This window comes from Homo sapiens, chromosome 21 (assembly GCF_000001405.40).
Source record: "Homo sapiens chromosome 21, GRCh38.p14 Primary Assembly".
Taxonomy (NCBI): Eukaryota; Metazoa; Chordata; class Mammalia; order Primates; family Hominidae; genus Homo; species Homo sapiens.
In genome coordinates, this window is record NC_000021.9 from 25,400,035 (window position 1) to 25,420,896 (window position 20,862).

The window sequence follows — 20,862 nt, forward strand, 5'->3', positions numbered from 1 at the left end:
CTCCAGGAAAAACTTTTTCCACTTGCAGAAAGGAGAGGGAGGAATACAGAGGACTTTGTCTTGCAACTTGGGTGCCAGCTCAGTCACAGTAAAATAAACCACAAAGCAGATTCTTAAAGCCTCTGATTCTAGGGCCCGGCTCCTGGACAGCATTTCTAAACCTGCTTGGGCCAGAAGGGAACCTGCTACTCTCAAGGTAAGGACCCGGTACTGGCAGCATTCCCCACTTGCTGATCAATCGTCCCTTAAGCCTTAAATCAGCATCCGCTGTAGCTCGGCAGTAGTTGCCACAAGCTTTGGGTGAGACCCAGTGCTGTGCTGGCCTCAGGTGTGACCCAGCATAGTCCCCGCTATGATGTCCAAGGGACTGCTCACATCACCTCTCCCCCAGCTCCAGTCAGCCCAGCACAGAGGGAGAGACTCTTTCTGTTTGGGGAAAGTGAGGAAAGATAATGACAGACTTTGCCTGGTAATCCAGATAATTTTTCTAGATCTTATTCAAGCCCACCAAGGCAGCACCTCTAGGAGTCTGTAAGAATTACTAAGGTACTGGGCTTGGAGCAACCCCTAGTGTGGATACGGATGTAGTGACCAAAGACTTAGATCACAACACTCAATTCTCTTTGAATACATGAAAAGCCTTCTCAACAAGGACAAGTCCAAACAAGCCCAGAATGTGATGATTAGAATAAATCTTCAGTTCCCAAATATCAATGAACATGCACAAGTATTTCCATAAAACACATGGAAATTAAATAATATGGTCCTGAATGACCAGTGAGTTAATGAAAAAATTAACAAGATAATTCTTAAAAATCTCTTAAAACAAATGAAAGTATCACATACACCTATGGAATACAGCAAAAGCAGTCCTAAGAAGAAAGTTTATAGCAAGAAGCACCTACATCAAGAAAGCAGAAAAACTTAATGTGCACCTAATGATGAATCTTAAAGAACTGGAAAAACGAGCAAACTGAACTCAATATTAGTAGAAGAAAAGAAATAAGAAAGATCAGGGCAAATACAACTGAGATTGAAATTTTTAAAAACACAAGAGATTAATAAAACAAAAAATTGGTTTTTTGAAAAGATAAACAAAATCAACAAACCTTGTGATGTTTAATACTGAATGTCAACTTGATTGGATTGAAGGATGCAAAGTATTGATCCTGGGTGTGTCTGTGAGGGTGTTTCTAAAGGAGATTAACATTTGAGTCAGTGGACTGGGTAAGGCAGACCCCCCCCCTTAATCTGGGTGGGCACTATCTAATCAGCTACCAGCATGGCCAGAAAAAAAAGCAGGCAGAAGAACATGAAAACACTAAACTGGCTTAGCCTCCCAGCCTACATCTTTCTCCTGTGCTGGATGCTTCTTACCCTCAAACATCAGACTCCAAGTTCTTCAGATTTGGGACTCAGACTGGCTTCCTTGCTCCTCAGCTTGCAGATGGTCCATTGTGGGACCTTGTGATTGTGTGAGTTTCTTAATAAACTCCATAGATATATATATATCCTGTTAGTTCTGTTCCTCTAGAGAACCCTGACTAATACAGATATTGGTACCAGTAGAGTGGGGCACTGCTGAAAAGATACCCAAAATTGTGGCAGTAAGTTTGGGGTTGGGAAATAGGCAAGGGTTGGAACAGTTTGGAGGACTCAGAAGAAGACAGGAAAATGTGGGAATGTTTGGAACTTTCTAGAGACTTGCTGAATGTCTTTGCCCAAAATGCTGATAGCGATATGGATGGTAGGGTCTGGGTTGAGGTGGTCTCAGATGGAGATGAGAAACTTTTGGGGAACTTGAGCAAAGGTAACTCTTGTTATGTTTTAGCAAAGAGACTAACAGCATTTCGCCACTGCCCTAGAGATTTGTGGAACTTTGAACTTGAGAGAAATGAGTTAGGGTATCTGGCAGAAGAAATTCCTAAGTAGCAAAGCATTCAAAAGGTGACTTGGGTGCTGTTAAAGGTATTCAGTTTTATAAGGGAAGCAGAGCATAGAAGCTGAGAAAATTTGCAGCTTGACAATGCAATAGAAAAGAAAATACCATTTTCTGAGGAGAAATACAAGCCACCTGCAGAAATTTGCATAAGTAACAAGAAGCTGAATGTTAGTCCCCAAGATAATGTGGAAAATGTCTCCAGGGCATGTCAGAGGTCTTCACAGCAGCCCCTCCCATCACAGACCGGAGGCCTAGGAAGAAAAAGTGGTTATGTGGACCGAGCCCAGGGTCCCCCTGCTGTGTGTAGCCTAGGGACTTGCTGCCCTGGTTCCCAGCTGCTCCACCTGTGGCTTAACGGGGACAATGTAGAGCTCAGGCTGTGGCTTCAGAGGGTGCAAGCTGCAAGACTTGGCAGCTTCCACATGGTGTCGAGCCTGCCAGTGCACAGAAGTCAAGAATTGGGGTTTGGGAACCTCTGCCCAGATTTCAGACAATATATGGAAATGCCTGGATGTCAGGCAGAAGTTTTCTGAAGAAGCAGGACTCTCATGAAGAACCTCTGCTAAGGCAGTGCAGAAGGAAAATGTGGGGTTGGAGTTCCCACACAGTATCCCTACTGGGGCACTGCCTAGCAGAGTTGTGAGACGAGTTGTCCTCCAGACCCCAGAATGGGAGATCCATTGATAGTTTGCACTGTTTGCCTGGAAAAGCCACAGACACTCAACACCAGCCCATGAAAGCAGCCAGGAGCGAGACTGTACCCACAAAGCCACAGGAGCAGAGCTGCCCAAGACCACAGTAACCCACCTCTTGCATCAGCGTGATGCAGATGTGAGACATGGAGTTAAAGGAGATCATTTTGCAGTTTTTAGATTTGACTGTCCTGCTAGATTTCAGACTTGCATGAGGCCTGTAGCCCCTTTGTTTGGCCAACTTCCCCCAATTTGGGACAGGTATATTTACCCATTGCCTGTACCCCATTGTACCTAGGAAGTAACTAACTTATTTTTACAGGCTCATAGGCAGAAGGGACTTGCCTTGTCTCAGATGAGACTTTGGACTGTGGACTTTTGAGTTAATGATGAAATGAGTCAAGACTTTGGGGGACTGTTGGGAAGGCATGATTGATTTTGAAATGTGAGGACATGAGATTTGGCAGGGGGCAAGGGTGGAATGTTATGGTTTGTCTTTGTTTCCCCACCCAAATCTCATCTTACATTGTATTCCCATAATTCCCACATGTTGTGAGAGGGTCCTGGTGGGAGATAATTGAATCATGGAGCCGGTTTCCCCCATACTGTTCTCATGATAGTGAATAAGTCTCACAAGATCTGACAGTTTTATAAGGAGTTTCCACTTTTGCTTCATTCTCATTCTCTCTTTGCCTTGCTGCCATCCATGCAAGACTTGACTTGCTCCTCCTTGCCTTCTGCCATGATTGTGAGGCCTCCCCAGTCATGTGGGACTGTGAGTCCATTAGACCTCTTTTTCTTCCCAGTCTCACATATGTCTTTATCAGCAGTGTGAAAATGGACTAATACAAACCTTTAGCCAGACTATGGGGAAAAAAGGGAGAAAAGTCAAATAAATAAAATTGAGATGAAAAAGAAGACATTACACTAAAACCACAGAAATTCAAAGAATCATTAGAGACTACTATGAGAAAATGTATGCCAAAAAATTTGAAAACCTAGAAAAAAATGGATATATTCCTAGATACATACAACCTGCAAAGATTGAACCATGAAAAAATCCAAAATCTGAATAGACAAATAACAAGTAATGAGATCAAAGCTGTAATAAAGTCTCCGATCAAAGAAAAGCCCAATACCTGATGGATTCACTGCTGAATTCTACCAAATATTTGAAAAACTAATACCAGTCTTACTCAATCTATTCCAAAAAATTCAAGGAGGAGGGAATACTTCCAAACTCCTTCTATAAGGCCAGTATTATCCTGATACCAAAACCAGAGAAAGGCACATCAAAAAAAGAAAACTGCAAGCCAATATCTCTGATGAATATTGTTGCAAAAATTCTCAACAAAATACTAGCAAACATTTTCAACAATACATTTAAAAGATCATTCATCACGACCAGGTGAAATTTATCCCAGGGATTCAAGGATGGTTCAACAGATACAAATCAACTGATATGATTCATCATATCAGCAGAACAAAGGACAAAAAGTATATGATCATTTAAATCGATGCTGAAAAACCATTTGATAAAATTTGACATCCCTTCATTCATGATAAAAAAAAAAAACTTGGTATAGAAGGAACATATCTCAACATAATAAAAGTTATATAAGACAGACCCACAGCTAGTACCATACTGAATGGGGAAAAACTGAACACCTTTCCTGTAAGGTCTGGAAGACAACAAGGATGGCCACTTTCACCGCTGTTATTCAACATAGTACTGGAAGTCCTAGCTAGAGCAATCAGACAAGAGAAAAAAATAAAGGCCATCAAAATTGGAAAGAAATAAGTCAAATTATCCATGTTTGCAGATTATATGATCTTATATAGAGAAAAACCAAAAACCCTAAAGACCACAAGAAAACTGTTAGAACTGATAAACAAGTTCAGTAATGTTTCAAGATACAAAGTTCAACATACAAAAATCAGTAGCATTTCTTTTTTTATATTTTTTTTAAGACAGAGTCTCACTCTTGTTGTCCAGGCTGGAGTACAATGGTGCAATCTCGGCTCACTGAAACCTCTGCCTCCCAAGTCGCTGGGATTACAAGCATGTGCCACCACACCTGGCTAATTTTGTATTTTTAGTAGAGACACAGTTTCACCATGTTGGTCAGGCTGGTCTCAAACTCCTGATCTCAGGTGATCACCCCGCTGGCCTCCCAAAGTGCTGGGATTACAGGTGTGAGCCACTGCACCGGGCCAAAAATCAGTAGCATTTCTATATATCAACAATGAGCAATCTGAATAAGAGATAAAGAAAATATCTCATTTATAATAGCTACAAATAAAATAAAATACCTAGGAATTTACCAAAGAAGTAAGAGATCTCCACAATGAAAACTATAAAATATTGATTGAAGAAGTTGTCTATAGTTCTTCATGACTTTTAAAAATAATAATAAATGTAGAAATTGAAGAGGACGCACAAAAAATGGAAAGATGCTCATGCTCATGGATTGGAAAATTTGATATTGTTAAAATGCACATACTACCCAAAGCTATCTACAGTTTAAATGCAGTCACTACCAAAACACCAATTCTATTCTTCACAAGGAAAAAATAATTCTAAAATTTATATGGAGCCATAATAGAGCCTGAACAGGCGCTATCCTGAGCAAAAAGAACAAAACTAGAGAAATCATATTACCTAACTTCAAATTATACTGGAGAGCTATGGTAACCAAAAGAGCATTGTACTGCCATAAAAACAGATCCATAGGTCAAGGCAACAGAATAAGGACCCTAAAAATAAATCTATCCATTAACAGTAAACTCATTTTTGACGAAAGTTCCAAGAACATGCATTGGGAAAGCATAGTCTCTTTAGTCTCTTTAATAAATGGTGCTGAGCAAACTGGACAGCCACATGCAGAAGCATGAAGCTAGACCTCTATTTCTCACCATATATAAAAATCAAATCAAAATGGATTAAAGACTTAAATCCAAGACCTGAAACTTTGAATCTACTAGAAAACTTCACGAAAATCTCCAACTCATTGGTCTGAGCAAAGATTTCTTGAGTAAGGCCTCAAAAGCACAGACAACCAAAGCAAAAATAAATAAATAATAAATGATAATAGGTAAAACAAGTTAAAAAGCTTCTGCATAGCAAAGGAAACACCAACAAAATGAAGAGACAACCTGCAGAATGGAAGGAAATATTTGCAAACTACCCACCCGACAAGCAATTAATAACTAGAATATATAAGGAGCTTAAACAACTTGATAGAAAAAAATCAAATAATCTTATTTAAAAATGGGTGAAGAATCTAAATGGACATTTCTCAAAAGAAGACATACAAATGATCAACAGGTATTGAAAAAAAGGCCAAATATCACTAATCATCAGACAAATGCAAGTCAAACCTGCAATGAGATACCACCTTACCCCAGTTAAAATGGCTTTTATATAGGCAATAACAAATGCTGGTGAGGATGTGGAAATAGGGGAAGCCTCATACACCACTGGTGGAAGTGTAAATTAGTACAGCCACAGTGAAGAATAATCTGGAGGTTCCTTCCAAAACTGAAAAAGGAACTACCATATGAGGCAGTAATATCAGTGTTATTATAGTCTGTGTTTTTCTGGGTACTTACTATTACCAGTAAGTTTTGTACCTTAAGGTGATTATTTATTGTTCATTAATGTCCTTTTGTTCTCATTGAAGTACTCTTTTTAGTATTTCTGTAGGATGAGTCTGATATTAATGAAACCCCTCAGCTTTTGTTTGTCTGGGAAAGTCTTTATTTCTCTTTCATGTTTGAAGGATATTTTTACCAGATATACTATTACAGGATAAAAGTTATTTTCCTTAAGCACTTCAAACATGTCATAACACTCTTCCCTTCAGGGCAGCAAGGTTCCCCAGGCCCTGGATGGGTCCTGAAGTGCAGTCCAAGAGTCAAAGACTAGAGTCAAAAAACATAGAAGTCTACAGGTAGAAGTCTACCTGGTATTCTATTGTGACTGAGCTGACACTCAAACCACAAGATGCAGTCCTTCCCACTTTTCCCTCCCCTTTCCAAAGGCAGAGGAGCCTCACTCTGTAGCAACCACCACCATCACTCCTGGCCATAAGGAGTACTGCCAGACTACCACTGATGTTCCCTTAAGGCCCAAGGGCTCTTAAATCAGCTTGCAGTAAATGCTGCATGGCCTGGGACTCACACTTCAGGGCAGTAGGCTCCGCTCTGGCTCAGGGCAGGTCCAGAAATGCCATTTAAGAGTCAAGTCCTGGAATCAGGGACCCCAAGAACCCACTTGGTGCTCTACCCTGCTGTGGTAGTATAAGTATCTGAAGCCAGCAAGTCTCAGACATTCACCAAGTCCCTTGATTTAGAATATGGGTATCACTGCTTGTTATTCAGAGCCCAAGGGCTCTCCAGTTAGCAGGAGATACATGCTGCCAGGGCGGGGTCCTTCCTTTCAAGGCAGCAGCTTCCCTTCTGGCCCAGGGTGTGTCTAGAAATGTCGTCTGGGAGCTAGGGCCTGAAACAGGGGCCTCTTGATTCTGACCAGTGCCCTATCCTGCTGTAACTGACCTGGTATGCAAGATGAAAGACAAAGTCCTCCCCACTCTTCCCTCTCCTCTCCTCAAGCAGAAGGCAGGCGTGTCTTTTGGAGCTGTGAGTTGTGCCACCTCTGGGCTAGAGGAGGAATAATGCCAGCACTCCCTTGGCTGCCCCAGCTGGTGTCTCAGTATGTCACATGCCCCTCACAATCCACTGTCTCTGGGCTTAGTTTAGCCCTAGGACTTGCCTATGAGTCGCACTCCTTAAGGCCTAGACTCCCTTTCAAGTTTACTTATGGACTAAGAGCACTTTGGCCCTTGATGGGAGGTTTGCAGGCACTCAAGTTTGGGATCAGCACTTTGGAATCAAATTAAAATGGATTAAAGTCTTAAATCTAAGACCTCGAACTATGAAACTGATAAAAGAAAACATTGAGAATCTCTCCAGGACACTGGGCGGGGCAAAGATTTCATGAGCAATACCCCATAACACAGGCACCAAAGCAAACATGAACAAATGGGACTGCATCAAGTTAAAAAGCGTCTGTAAAGCAAAGGATACAATCAACAAAGTGAAGAGACAACCCAAAGAATGGGAGAAAATATTTGCAAGCTATTCCTCTGACAAGGGATTAATCACTAGAATATATAAGGAACTCAAACAACTCTGCAGAAAAAAAAATCTAATAATCTGATTTTTAAAATAGGCAAAATATTTAAATAGATGGTTCTCAAAAGAAGACATACAAATGGTAAACACACACATGAAAAGGTGCTCAGCATCACTGATCACCAGAGAAATGCAAATAAAAACTACAAGGAGAGATTATCTCACCCCAATTCAAATGGCTTATATCCAAAAGACAGGCAATAACAAATGCTGGCTAAGATGCGGAGAAAAGGGAATCAATCCTTGTACACTGTTAGTGGAAATGTAAATTAGTACAACCACTATGGAGAACTGTTTGGAGGGTTCCCAAAAAACTAAAAATGGAGCTACTATATACTCCAGCAATCCCACTGCTGGGTATATACCTAAAAGAAAGAAAATCAGTATACCAAAGAGATATCTGCACTTCTATATTTCTTGCAGCACTGTTTACAATACCTAAAATTTGGAAGCAACCTGAGTGTCCATCAACAGATGAATAGATAAAGAAAATGTGGTACATATACACAATGGAGTACTTTTCAACCATAAAAAAGAATGAGATCCAGTCATTTGCAACAATGTGGATGGAACTGGAGATCATTATGTTAAGTGAAATAAGCCAGGTACAGAAAGACAAACATCCCATGGTGGGATCTAAAAATCAAATCAATTGAACTCATTGACATAGAGAGTTGAAGGATGGTTTATGAGAGGGTGGAAATGGTGGTGAGGGGTTGGGGGGGCAGGTTGGGGTGGTTAGTGGGTACCAAAAATTTAGAAAGAATGAATAAGACCTACTATTTGATAGGACAGTAGGGAGACTATAGTCAATGATAACTTAATTGTATGTTTTAAATAAACTTAAATAATGTAATTAGATTGTTTGTAACTCAAAGGATAAACGCTTGAGGGGATGGATACCCCAATTCTCCATGATGTGCTTATTTCACATTGAATGCCCGAATCAAAACATCTCGTGAACCTCACAAATACATACGCCTACTATGTACCCACAGAGGGTTGAGGAGGATGTGAAACCCTTATACACTGTTGGTAGTATTGTAAGTTAGCACAGCTATTTTGGAAAACAATAAGGAGGTTCCTCAAAAAACTAAAAATAAAATTACCATATCATCTAGCAAACCCACCTTATATGTATATGCCTTTTTTAAAAAATAAAATTATGTTATTTGTGACAACACGGATGGACCTAAAGGACATTATGTTACATGAAATAAGCCGGACACGGGGAAGCAAATACCATATGATCTCACTCATGTGGAATCTCAGATAGTTGAACTCATAGAAGCAGGGAGTAGAATGGTGGTTTTACAGGCAGGGGATGAAGGGATGGTGTGGATGCGGAGAGTTAATAGGTACAATCTTTCAGTTATATAGGAGGAATCAGTTCTGGTGTTCTATGGCACAGTACAGTAACTATAGTGAATATTAATAACTTAATATTAATATTAAGGTATTTTAGATTTCAAAAAGCTAGAAAAGAGGATTTTCATGACAAGGAAATGATAAATACTTGTGATCAATATGCCAATTATCCTGATTTGATCATTCCACTATGTATGCATGGAACATCACATTGTATCCCTCCCATAAATATACACAATTATTGTCAATTTAAAATAATATAACACTTAAAAAGACAAAGAAATTTAAAATAAATACAATAACATGGTAAGACCTGTATTTAAAGTTCTGGTCCAAATATATGGCAATGATTTTGATCATTACAGATGTTACTACAAACATTCAAACTGATACCTACTGAGAAGCACTCTAGGCTAAGTGGTTTGGAAATTCTGCATCCCCCAGAATGCTTCAATGCTTCTGATGAAAGCCCTGATATATGGGATTCCTGTTGTGAGATCCTAGGTGAATAATCCTAACTGCAGGACTAATATTGGACATACTCAGAGACAGACTTCATAAGGCCACCCTCACTTTTCCACATCAGGTGGAAAGAGAAAAATGAAATTATTACCTTTCAAAATATTTGTCTGCTTGAATTATTTCACTCTTACCCTTAATAGTAACACCAACTATAATTTACTTGCTCCAGAGACAAAATCAGGTCTTCACATATCCTTGAGGCAACTCTATGTGTTGCATGCACACATACACACACACACATACACACACACATACATTCTTTGCTCAGCCTGTTCATTATTTTATTATCTAACCCTTTCATTATTTCATTGCTCTCCAACTTGGGGACACTTTCAAGACTGTCAAGAAGTTACTGACTTCTGAGTCTTTATTATCAAAGCAAATGAAATAAACCATGGTTTCCTGCCCCTGACACTTCACCATATGGTATTGATGCAGTGACTAGCCACAAAATGCCAGATGGCCCCAAGATATCAGTTATTCAAGAATAACATCATACCCACTCAGAATACATGTATAACTCCTCCCAAAGGGTAGTATTACTCTTAATTATAAATTCCTTTATCCAGTACTGAAGATATATGTCCAAAGCCTAGGACATACTTGTCTAAATATTTGGACATTTAGAAAAGCAATATTAAATTCTCATCATATTGTGTTGTGTCACTGAAAATACTGGTGTTAGAACATATCCCACAGGTGTCTCGGGGGTTGGTAAATTATCTTAAGGCTCATGTGGAGAGGATATCTAGTAGAGAAACTCCCTGGAGAATAAAAGCACTTATAAATAGAAAATCTCCTTCCAAATGGAACTCATCCATGTTGTTCATCTTACATAGCTAGATCAGGAATGTATTTCTATGAAGGCACTGACTGAAAGTGGAAATCTACCAACCCGTTAATTGATTTTTATATTGAATAAAATTTTTTACCATAACTATTTTTATTACAATAATTAGGAGCAGTACAGTTCATGACAAAAATATTACAGATCTCAGATCGCTTCACAGCATGAAGTTATTTTAAATGCTTATACTCTTATAAACACTTAAAAGTTAATTTTAATTTAAGAATGGTCATTTTTAATGTTTGATATGACCAACATTCCTAATTTAGCACAACGAAATGATGGAAAACAACTGGGTCACACTGCGTGTGTCCCACCAAAGAAAAAAAAAAACAAAGCACAATGTACAAAATGTGCATGTTTCTATTGACAGTATATGAAAATAGTTAAAATACATGTTACAGGTAAACATGTAATATTAAGAAATAGTACTAGTAAAAAGTTGGCATGCAAAAGAAAATGCAAAAAAAATTCAACATGGCAACACAAGACAGTAGAATCGATAACTTTTGGATAAAATATTTATATTGAATAAAATATTAACATAGTATATGCTACACAACTTTGCACAAACCTTCCAAAAGTGATTTTATGTCACTGAGAAGTGACCGAGAACCTTGGACAAGAATCAATATTGATTTTCCAGGAATATTCCAGGAGAAAAAAGTCTGGGTTGAAGTAATTTCCTTTGTAAGATGAACGGCAAGACCCATACGACCATATTAAAATGTTGCCACTACAATCTCAGAATTGTGATTGCCAGACACTAACATTTCTGCCAAATAATCTAAATTTTGGTTAGTTAAGCTACAGGAATTTGTACAGAAATTTTTTTTCCAAGACATGAAAATGAAGAATGCAAATGAATAAAAATGTACTGAGGTGCATTGCTGGAGGAAAATAGCCAAAGTGAAATGACCGATATAGGGTCTTTATCAATTTACAATTGTATAGCAAGTTGTAAAGTAATGCAATGTATTGTCATTGTCACCAGTTGTTGAATTATAAATTATTTTTCCCTAAAGTTCCCACTTTCCCTTTCCTATCTATTCAGCCAATTCAGGCAAATAGTCCATTCTGAGTTATTTCCTGAGGATGCAGGTGTTACAGGGTAGAGTGCAAAAAGGAAACTTCCTCTAAGTCTCTGATTTATATGTTTCCAAAATCTTAAAGCTAAAAGGGGTTTATTTTTAGGGGCAAAAATGAATTTGGGAGGAACCTATCAAGATGTGAACAGGAAGGGATTTCCCCAGAAGGCTAAAAGCATAGGGAATAGCAGAAGAAAAACAAATTAAGGTGGTTTAGAGACAGAACATTGACTCCACTCTCCAAATTAGAATTTCAGTGAAGGAGCAAGATACCAATTTAGTATTAAAGCCAGAGAATAAATTTGGATATTTGCCCCTCTTCTTAGATAATAAACCCCGAGAAGTGATAAAGCCCCACATTCCATATGAAGGCAAATAGGGTCATAGATAAGTCCCAGGATAAATCCTTTGCCAGAGAATAGCATGGAAGAAATGGAATGATGCCCCAGTTTTCAAGCATAGCATGAAAGTACCAGAGTGATCCATTAGACCTGAAGTCCAAGGTAGACAAGAATGAGAATTGTCTTGACAGTTTACTGCATGGATTGGTGAGCAAGGACCAAGTGGCACCATGGAATGGTCAGCAGATATCTGTGTGGACAGATGGCTCAAGGACAAGATGAGTCATGCAATACCTCACACTTACATAAGTCTCCCTTGAACTTAAACACAGCCCAGGGAAAAGAGAAAGAGTTTTAGTGTCTGATATCCTAGGGAAATGGAGGATTCAAAGAAAAATTCCATTAATACATAGAAAAATAATGTTTCTTACACACCTGGTTTAGTTTGGACTGAGATTTGTACCTGTTATGATAGAAAATATAATTACCATTTATAATCTGAATTACAGGATATGAGTTAGCTTCCACATATCTGATGCCCAGATTTTCCTAATATGAACACAGTTAAACTTTCCTACATGATATGTGGACCCAACATATCTTCCCTCACATATGTTCTGTAGCTTCATATATTTTGTTCACCGTGTGCATTTCACTTCTCTTTTATTCCTGATTCTCAGAACAACTGTTCTGTGCAAAGCATGACAGCATAAAACCTCTCTGTCCTTCAAGGCCTGTGTTCTATTAAGTCTTTTATATGAACTATCATTTATTGTACATCAACCATACCAGGAACTTTACAAGGACTACCTCTTCTTCACAAACATAAAAACATTCAAATTCAGCATCATAATCCCCTTTTTACAGGCAGAAAGCATGGGCTTGGAAAGGCTAAGTAACTCCCTTACTTTGGTAAGGCAGGCAAGCTTCAAAATCTTTTCTATTTCTAAACCTCCAGCCCAAGTTGATTTTTAGATGGTAACCTTTTGAATGTATTGTCCATTCTACCCAAATGTCTCCATAATACATACTACTTAATTTTCTTTTTTTACTTTTTTAAAATCATACAACTAGGCTCTTGTCCTAGTCATTATTTGTATATTAAATTTACCTTTTAAGCCAAATTGGAAATCATCAAAATTCACAGATGAGGCATCATTTAGGAAAAACTTTTTCTCTATTTTTAACTTTTTGCAAAATACTATTGCTCTTCCAGAAATATTTAAGCTTGCCATGGTCTCAAGTGGTAGTTGAAAAATGAAAACACATGGACACAGGGAGGGGAACATCACACATGGGGGCCTGTCAGGGGGTGAGGGGCTAGGGGAGAGATAGCATTAGAAGAAATACCTAATGTAGGTGACGGGTTGATGGGTGCTGCAAACCACCATGGCACGTATATACCTATGTAACAAAACTGCACGTTCCGCACATGTACCCCAGAACTTTAAGTATAATAATAAAAAAGACATTTTTTTTCCTCTTTTCTTCTAGATGCTTACACTATCTCTCTTCTTGCCCCGACAACTAAGATTTTTAAGAGTGGCTGCATTCCCTGTAGTCTCTAGCTCACCTCCTATTCACTCCCCACCCCGCTGCAATCTGGTTTTCTCTCACTAAGCCACTAAGGGCTCTTTGTGATGTTACCAGTGAGCTACTTGCTGCTAAACCCAATGGACACTGATTTGTCTTTATCTAATTGATTATTGTGACACAAAAATATAACTAAGGAGGAAGAAGAGAGATTATCTGCCTTGAGCACTTTTTCCATAAGTGAAACATTTAAAGCTTTATTATTGAAGTAATATGTTCACATAACCAAGATAGTTGTCAACACCATGGTGCAAGGAAATAAAAGGAAAGAGTGTAAAAGCTAAATAGCAAGACCCAGAAAGAAGAGAGTGGAGGTATTACTCCTTTTTGAACAGCGAGTTCCCCATTACCTAATAATGGCCACGCAGGACCTGCTGCATTGATAGAGGAACTTGGAATCCTCTTCTTAAACACTGTGTCCCTTGGCTCTCAGGCACCTCTCAGCCCCACATCTTCCCCATGTACCACTTCCATTGCCTGGACCTCTGTTATCCCAGAAAATTTCTATTAGAAATCCTTCTAATTTCTACTCATGTTTCAAGTCTTCACTTCATATCTCCTCATCATAGAGGGCTTCCATGATTCTCCAGGATTAAATTCCCCTTGCTTTAGACAACTTTACAACCTCTTTTGCAATGCTCATCACAGTTGTTACCACTAATGAATTATTCAATAATATTGAATATCTGTCTTGGCTGACTGTGATCTTCAGGAAGACAAATGGAGATCATCTTTCATGTTCACTGATATAGCCCTAGGGCCTAATAGAGTGCCTGGCAAATTATAAATGCTTGATGATTGTTCCCTGCATTGTTGAATTGAATTGTGCTGAATTGAAATTTTCTTAAACCAATATTTCTATCACATTTTAGAAGGTGCATTTGCAATATAGGGAGTGTCTTGATCAGTTTGGGCTACTGTAACAAAATACCATAGACTAGTACTTAAACAACAAACATTCTTGAGGCTGGAAGTCTGAGATCAGGGTCCAATCATTGTGGGATTCTAACAAAGATCCCCTTCTGGGTTGCAGACTTCCAACTCCTCAATGTATCCTCCCATGGTGGAAAGAGAGCAAGAGCTCTCTGTCCTCTTCTTATAAGGGCACTAATCCCATTTGTGAGGGCTCCATCCTCATGACCTAATTACCTCCTGAAGACTCCACCTTCAAATACCATCTGTGTTAGGCCATTCTTGCTTTGCTATAAAGAAATGTCTGAGACTGGATACTTTATAAGGAACAGAGGCTTAATTGGCTTGGAGTTCTACACGCTGTACAGGAAGCATGGCCCTGGCATCTGCTGGGCTTCTGGGGAAGCCTCAGGGAGCTTTTACTCATGGCAGGAGGCAAAGCGGGAGCAGCCTTCTCACATGGCCAGAGCGGGAGCAAGAGTAACAGTGGGGAGTCGGGGAAGGTGCTGCACACTTGTAAACCACCAGATCTCACGTGAACTCAGTGCGAGGGCTCACTTATCATGAAGGGGATGGCCCAAGACATTCCTGAGGGATCCACCTCAATGATCCAAACACCTCTACCAGGCCCCACCTGGCCCCATGTAATTGGGAATTATATTTCAGTATGAGATTTGGGTGGGGACAAATATTCAAACTATATCACCATCACATTGTGGGTTAGATTTTGAAATACAAATGTTAGACACAAACATTCTATCCATAACAGGGAACATTGAAGGAAGGAGATTATTATGATGGTAAATGTCTACAAGTTCTGTCAATAATGAATAGTCTACTGAAGAGATCTTACAGAAGAAAAAAGCATTTAAAGTCTATCATATGTGTTTATTAAAGGGCAAAATATTTCTGTTAGATAGGAGGAATAAGCTTTAGTGATCTATTGCACAGAATGGTGATTATAAAAAACAATTAAAGAGTAGATTTTAAATGTTCCCACCACAAAAAAATAATGAGTATGTGAGGGGATGAATTTGTTAATTAGTTTGATTTAATCATTCCACAATGTAAACAAATATCAAAACATCACATCAAGACCCCATAAATATATAATATATACCAATTATTTATAATATTTGTTAATTAAAAATAAAGTTAAAAAACATTTTAAAGACTGCATAGAGACAATTGAAGAACTTTTTCTAAAGCCTATATATTAGATAATGGTATTATATCAATTTTAAATGTCTTGAGTGTGATCACTGCATTGTGGGTTTGAGGAGAATCTTCTTGTTCTTCTGAGATACTCATTTAAGTATGTAGGAGTGAAGTGTCATGAATAAGGAGTGAAGTGTCATGCAAAGCTAAAGCAACTAATTCTCAAATAATTGAATTTAAAACATGCGCATGTAAAATAGTAAATAAAGCCCATCGTACAGAAGAGATACTGGAAGAGATTTGCTGCATAAGACAAAACTAGAACACAGAGGAAAAGTTCAGCTCCATATAAGGAATGACTTTAACAATCAGAAGCTAACAAAAAAGTGGCATCCATTTTAATAAATAAGAGCAGTCCCCCCACCCCGCCCCACTCTGCTCTAGTGGAGACAAGCATGATCTTGAGAAGGTATTTTCTCATTGAACAGGCAGTTGTAGAGTATGAATCCTATGGTCTTTCCACCAGGTTAGATTTCCTTTATAAGTGAAGGAATAGTAGAAACTCATATTCACCCTTCTTTCCTTTAAGCTATCCCAAGCATAAAAAGTTGCATAGAGAAAAGTTGAACATGAACTCCATAGAAAAGAACTGTGTTTAACACACACTGTTGTCATGTTTTTTTGTTCTAATAGAGAATAAACTTGTCTTATGTTCATTGTGTTTTCAGTTAAGGTTTGTTTGGTTGATTGATTGGTTTATTTGTTTTTTATTATCTATAGATGTATAATCCATGCAAACAACTTAGCATACTTTGCTCTTCCTTCTGAATTCTCTAACCCAAATTTGTACTTCAACTAGGAACAGTTGCTCAACAAACATGAACATGTGCTTGCTTATTGTTTGGTGGATAACCTTATTATTCAAAAATTCAATAAATATTTCTATGGATGTCCAAAGTTTCCAGTCAGTTCATATCCATTGAGACATGGCTGGTAGCAAAAACTAGCTTGTCAAACACTTTAGAGAGGGAAAATTAATTTTTAAACAAAATCATGAAGCCATAATATTAGTTTAACTGATATTAGGATTCTGGGGTTAAACACACTTTCTGCATTAGTAATCACTCTATTTCACTTTCTTTCTGTCTGGCCTTTCTTAATTCTCATTACCAGGGGAAAAAACAGTAATTTTGTGAATACTGCGGCATTTGGAATTAAAAATAATTACACAAACAGTTTTCCAACAGCACAGAGACAGTATCTGAACTGAGACCTTTTTTCTGCATGCATTACTTCCAACATTACTTTGTCTTTCTCTACCATTCAGCAATATAACACATACACACTTTTTTTATGAAGAGAATCAAAACGTTTTCTTTTAAGAAAAGTTATTTTTCTGTTTTTAGAAAAGTTTAAAAAGCCCACTTGAAGGGGGAAATTACTAAATTAAATTTGATATGAACAAACATGCCAAATAATAGCATAATTATAATTATTTTCTCCCTTTTGGTACTCATTCTTTAGACTACAGAGTATTTTTATTCAATTTTTCAATGTAGTACAGAGATAGACCAGACATTGGGAAATACATAGGGAAAGTAAGTGAAAAGACACATATCTAACAATAAAGGGTAGAGAGATGGAAGTATGGGTTGGGATATGGTAGAAATCAGGGCAGGAGAAGGCACCATCCCTTCTACAGCCAGAGACTTTGTGGTTCATGGGTAGCCTAGATCAAGTAACCAGACAGTGAGAGTCTGGTCAGAGCCCAGTGATCCTCTACAGCTCTGAAGATTGGTTAGATGAGTGGCACACTTCAAAGGCTCTAATCCCACTCTATCTTAGAGTTCTCTAACTTAAATACATCAGACATTCTCACTACTGGAAAAATGAAGTAGATGTATTTTTCCCCATTCCTCCTGCTCTTCTCCCAACTACGAGTTAAAGAAAAGAAAAAAAGACACTAGGACATTATATAAAAAACAGACATAAGAAGACTTTGAAATGTGGAAGGAAGAATGCAGGCTGCCTAGGGACCTCGGGACCCAAGGAAAGACATAGTAGTGAGTTTTCTAGGCTTCTGTTTCTTTGGGTTTTCTATGCCTCATCTATCCCAAGTCAACAATCCAGAAATACCAATATGTATGGGCAAAAAAAAAAAAAAAAGCCCAAAGAAAGCTTGCTCTTATTATCCAAAAAAGAGCATCCCGGAAAGATAGAAAATTTTTAGAAAATAAGCATTCTACTCTAGCCAGGCACTATAGAAAATAACTGTATGCTCCCAAACAAAGGCCAAGTTGGGCACCTTTGCTAACTCTAATGAGGCACCCCAAGCCTCCCACCAGAGTGATATCAAAGAAAGCCCAGATGGAAGCAGAGGTTTTTATGATGCCAGGCAATGAGAAGACCTCACCTTCATCCCTGAGGTGTTGGCAGGGAGGCTGGACTTCCAGCCTCACTCCTCAAGTCCCCACTAGCTTATCAACAGAGGAGGTCCAGAGGAAACTTAGAACAAGCTCAGTGGTAAAAAGGACATCCTTGTCTCATAGTGACAGTGGAGCCACTCCTGCCTCTCCATGCCAGGGTGATGTCACAGAGAACCAGGGAAAAGCCTGAAGTCTCCTGCCCATTCAGCAGTAATAAGAATTGCCTATCTTCAGGAGTCAACAGAGGCTGACTTGGGAACTGGGACTTCAATACTTGTAGCCCCACCTGGAAATAAGGAGACAGTGCCCCTTTCACCCACCAAAGCATTACCAGAAGAAGACTGTTATACCAGATCAATAAGATCCAGAGTCTGATAATACCCTAAATGTCCAGGTTTCTATCAAAAATCTCTTATACTAGGAACTGGGAAAATCTCAACATAAATGAGAAAAGATAATCAACAAACACCAACACCAAAATGACACAAAGGCCAGGAATATCTAACAATAATTTTAAAACAGCAATTATAAAAAAGCTTCAATAAACACTTATGAATGTGTTTGAGACAAACGAAAAACAGAAAGTCTCAGTGAAGAGATAGAAGATATAAAGAAGACCCAAATGGAAATTTTATAATTGAAAAATACTATACCTTAAAAAAATTAATGGATAGTCTCAACAGCAGAATGGAGAGGAAAAAAGGATCAGTGAAGTTGTAGAATAGGACTTTTCCAATTTGAACAACAAAGAGCAAATCGACTGGGAAAAAACTGAACAGAGCCTCAGGGACCTATGGGACAATCACCAAATATCTAATATCTGTGTCACTGATTAGTCTCAGAAAGGAGGGAGAAAGAGATTGGGTCTAGGAAAAGTATTCAGAGAGAGTCTGAAGATCTCAGCAATACTAGCTCCCTGCATTTCCCACCCCACACATCCTCAGAAGCTAGAGCCTGGATTGCTGAATTTTAGAAAAGCTCTATTAGCCTCGTGATGCAGCAGTCCAACAGCAGTCAGTGCCACACCATAAGCCCAACTCAAGAAAAGAGATTTTGGCCGGGCACGATGGCTCATGCCTGTAATCCCAGCACTTTGGGAGGCTGAGGCGGGCGGATCACTTGAGGTCAGGAGTTCGAGATCAGCCTGGCCAACATGGTGAAACCCCATCTCTACTAAAAATACAAAAATTAGCCAGATGTGGTGGCACATGCCTGTAGTTCCAGCTACTCAGGAGGCTGAGGCAGGAGAATCACTCGAACCCAGGAGGCGGAGCTTGCAGTGAGCCAAGATCGTGCCACTGCACTCCTGCCTGGGCGACAGAGTGAGACTCTGTCTCAAAAAAAAAGATTTTGATAAAGTGTGTATGAGTTTAAAACTCCTTTTCTGACCCTAAAAATTTCCCAGTTCACTTTCTTTTATTCTGGTCCCTGACCATGATGCAAACCTGAGAAATCCACCAGAGACATAAAGTGGAGCTGTCAGTAGGACTGCACCCCAAATCAGGCAGTCTAGGCTGTGTTTGACTGTGGAAGAGAGGGAGGCAGGTGGGGCCACTCTGACCCGCAGATTTTATGTCCCGAGAAGGAGCAAAGAACTCTGCCACCATCCTGCTTCCTCTAACAAAGCCCCTGACAGAGCAGTCATGAGTAATGCTTCGACCTGGAGACCACCTAAGAATTTTATCTTTAAACAGTTAAAGAAGAGCTGTGATTTTCAAAGTTTCTGCCAATCCTTATATTGTTAAATGTGCATTGCCAACCCGCAGTTTGTTTGAGAGAACATTTTATTGGGACTTTTTGTTACAAAAGGCAATGTCTAGGGCAGAGTCTGGAATGAGAAGGTTGACACAAAGGAAGCTAAATAGCTAAATTGTTCCATTTAACAAATGATCGGTAAGTTCCACATGCAGTAATAATGTGTGTTGTAAAAAGGTTTTGTCTGAAATGGGTGGGAGGTGAATTTAAGGACTTGAAGAAAAGGGGGAAAAGACTGTGGCACAAGAGAGCAGACCCACAAAAATAGTAGCAGGCCAGGAGCCAAAAAAAAAAAAAAAAGCATAAAAAATATCAGTCCCCTAAAGCAGAAATGGCTAATGAACTTAGGAAAGGTGATTCACTTATTCTATTTGAGGTCGTTTCCTTATTTGTGCTACATGACCAAACCTTCAGGTAAAGTAAATTCTCTGTTACAGCCCTGAGTTAATGATACAGAAGGTTTTGAAGGAAAGGTACTCCTTTCTGGCTTGGAATGAATTGGTATAGGCAGGAGACAGGTACCAGGAGGATAATAGCTCCAGAGCTAAAGAAAGTGATATAGGAAATGGATACTAGGAAGTTTGTCAAATGGGAGAATATATAAGCCAAGAGCATCTTGTACCCACTTCTTTTCACTCATTGACTCAGGGAAATACGAGAAAGGGTATTAGTCAACTGCATCACTTATTGAATTTGTGGAAGAAGGGCTCATTTATTGAATTTGTATTTGAAAGGACAGCGTAACCTCAGAAGGCTGAATGACTTGGAGCTACTTGGCTCACAAATTTCTTCTTCCTGAATATTTTTGAAATCTTGCAACTTACAGTACTTACCATTGAGCATCCCAAAGATTTCCAAGTAGATGTGGGGAACCTTGTCCCTTAGGGTATGGCATGAGTTTGTGCATGTGTTCTGCTCAGGGTTCCCTGTCAACAAATGAGACAAATACAAAAATTACATAAATCTTGCCTAGTAAATAGAGGGAAGATATTCTAAGACAATGACAATTAAAAAAAAAATAG

At 38.9% G+C, this 20,862-nt stretch overlaps 1 long non-coding RNA gene across 1 annotated transcript in view; it reads right to left on the reverse strand.

Annotated features, from left to right (window-relative positions):
- The window catches only part of LINC00158 (long intergenic non-protein coding RNA 158), a 45,882-nt gene that overhangs the window by 14,215 nt on the left and 10,805 nt on the right, over window positions 1-20,862 (reverse strand). The window contains exon 4 of the long non-coding RNA NR_024027.2: window positions 20,674-20,766. This is a non-coding gene — a long non-coding RNA (long intergenic non-protein coding RNA 158). The remainder of the gene's footprint in view (window positions 1-20,673; window positions 20,767-20,862) is intronic.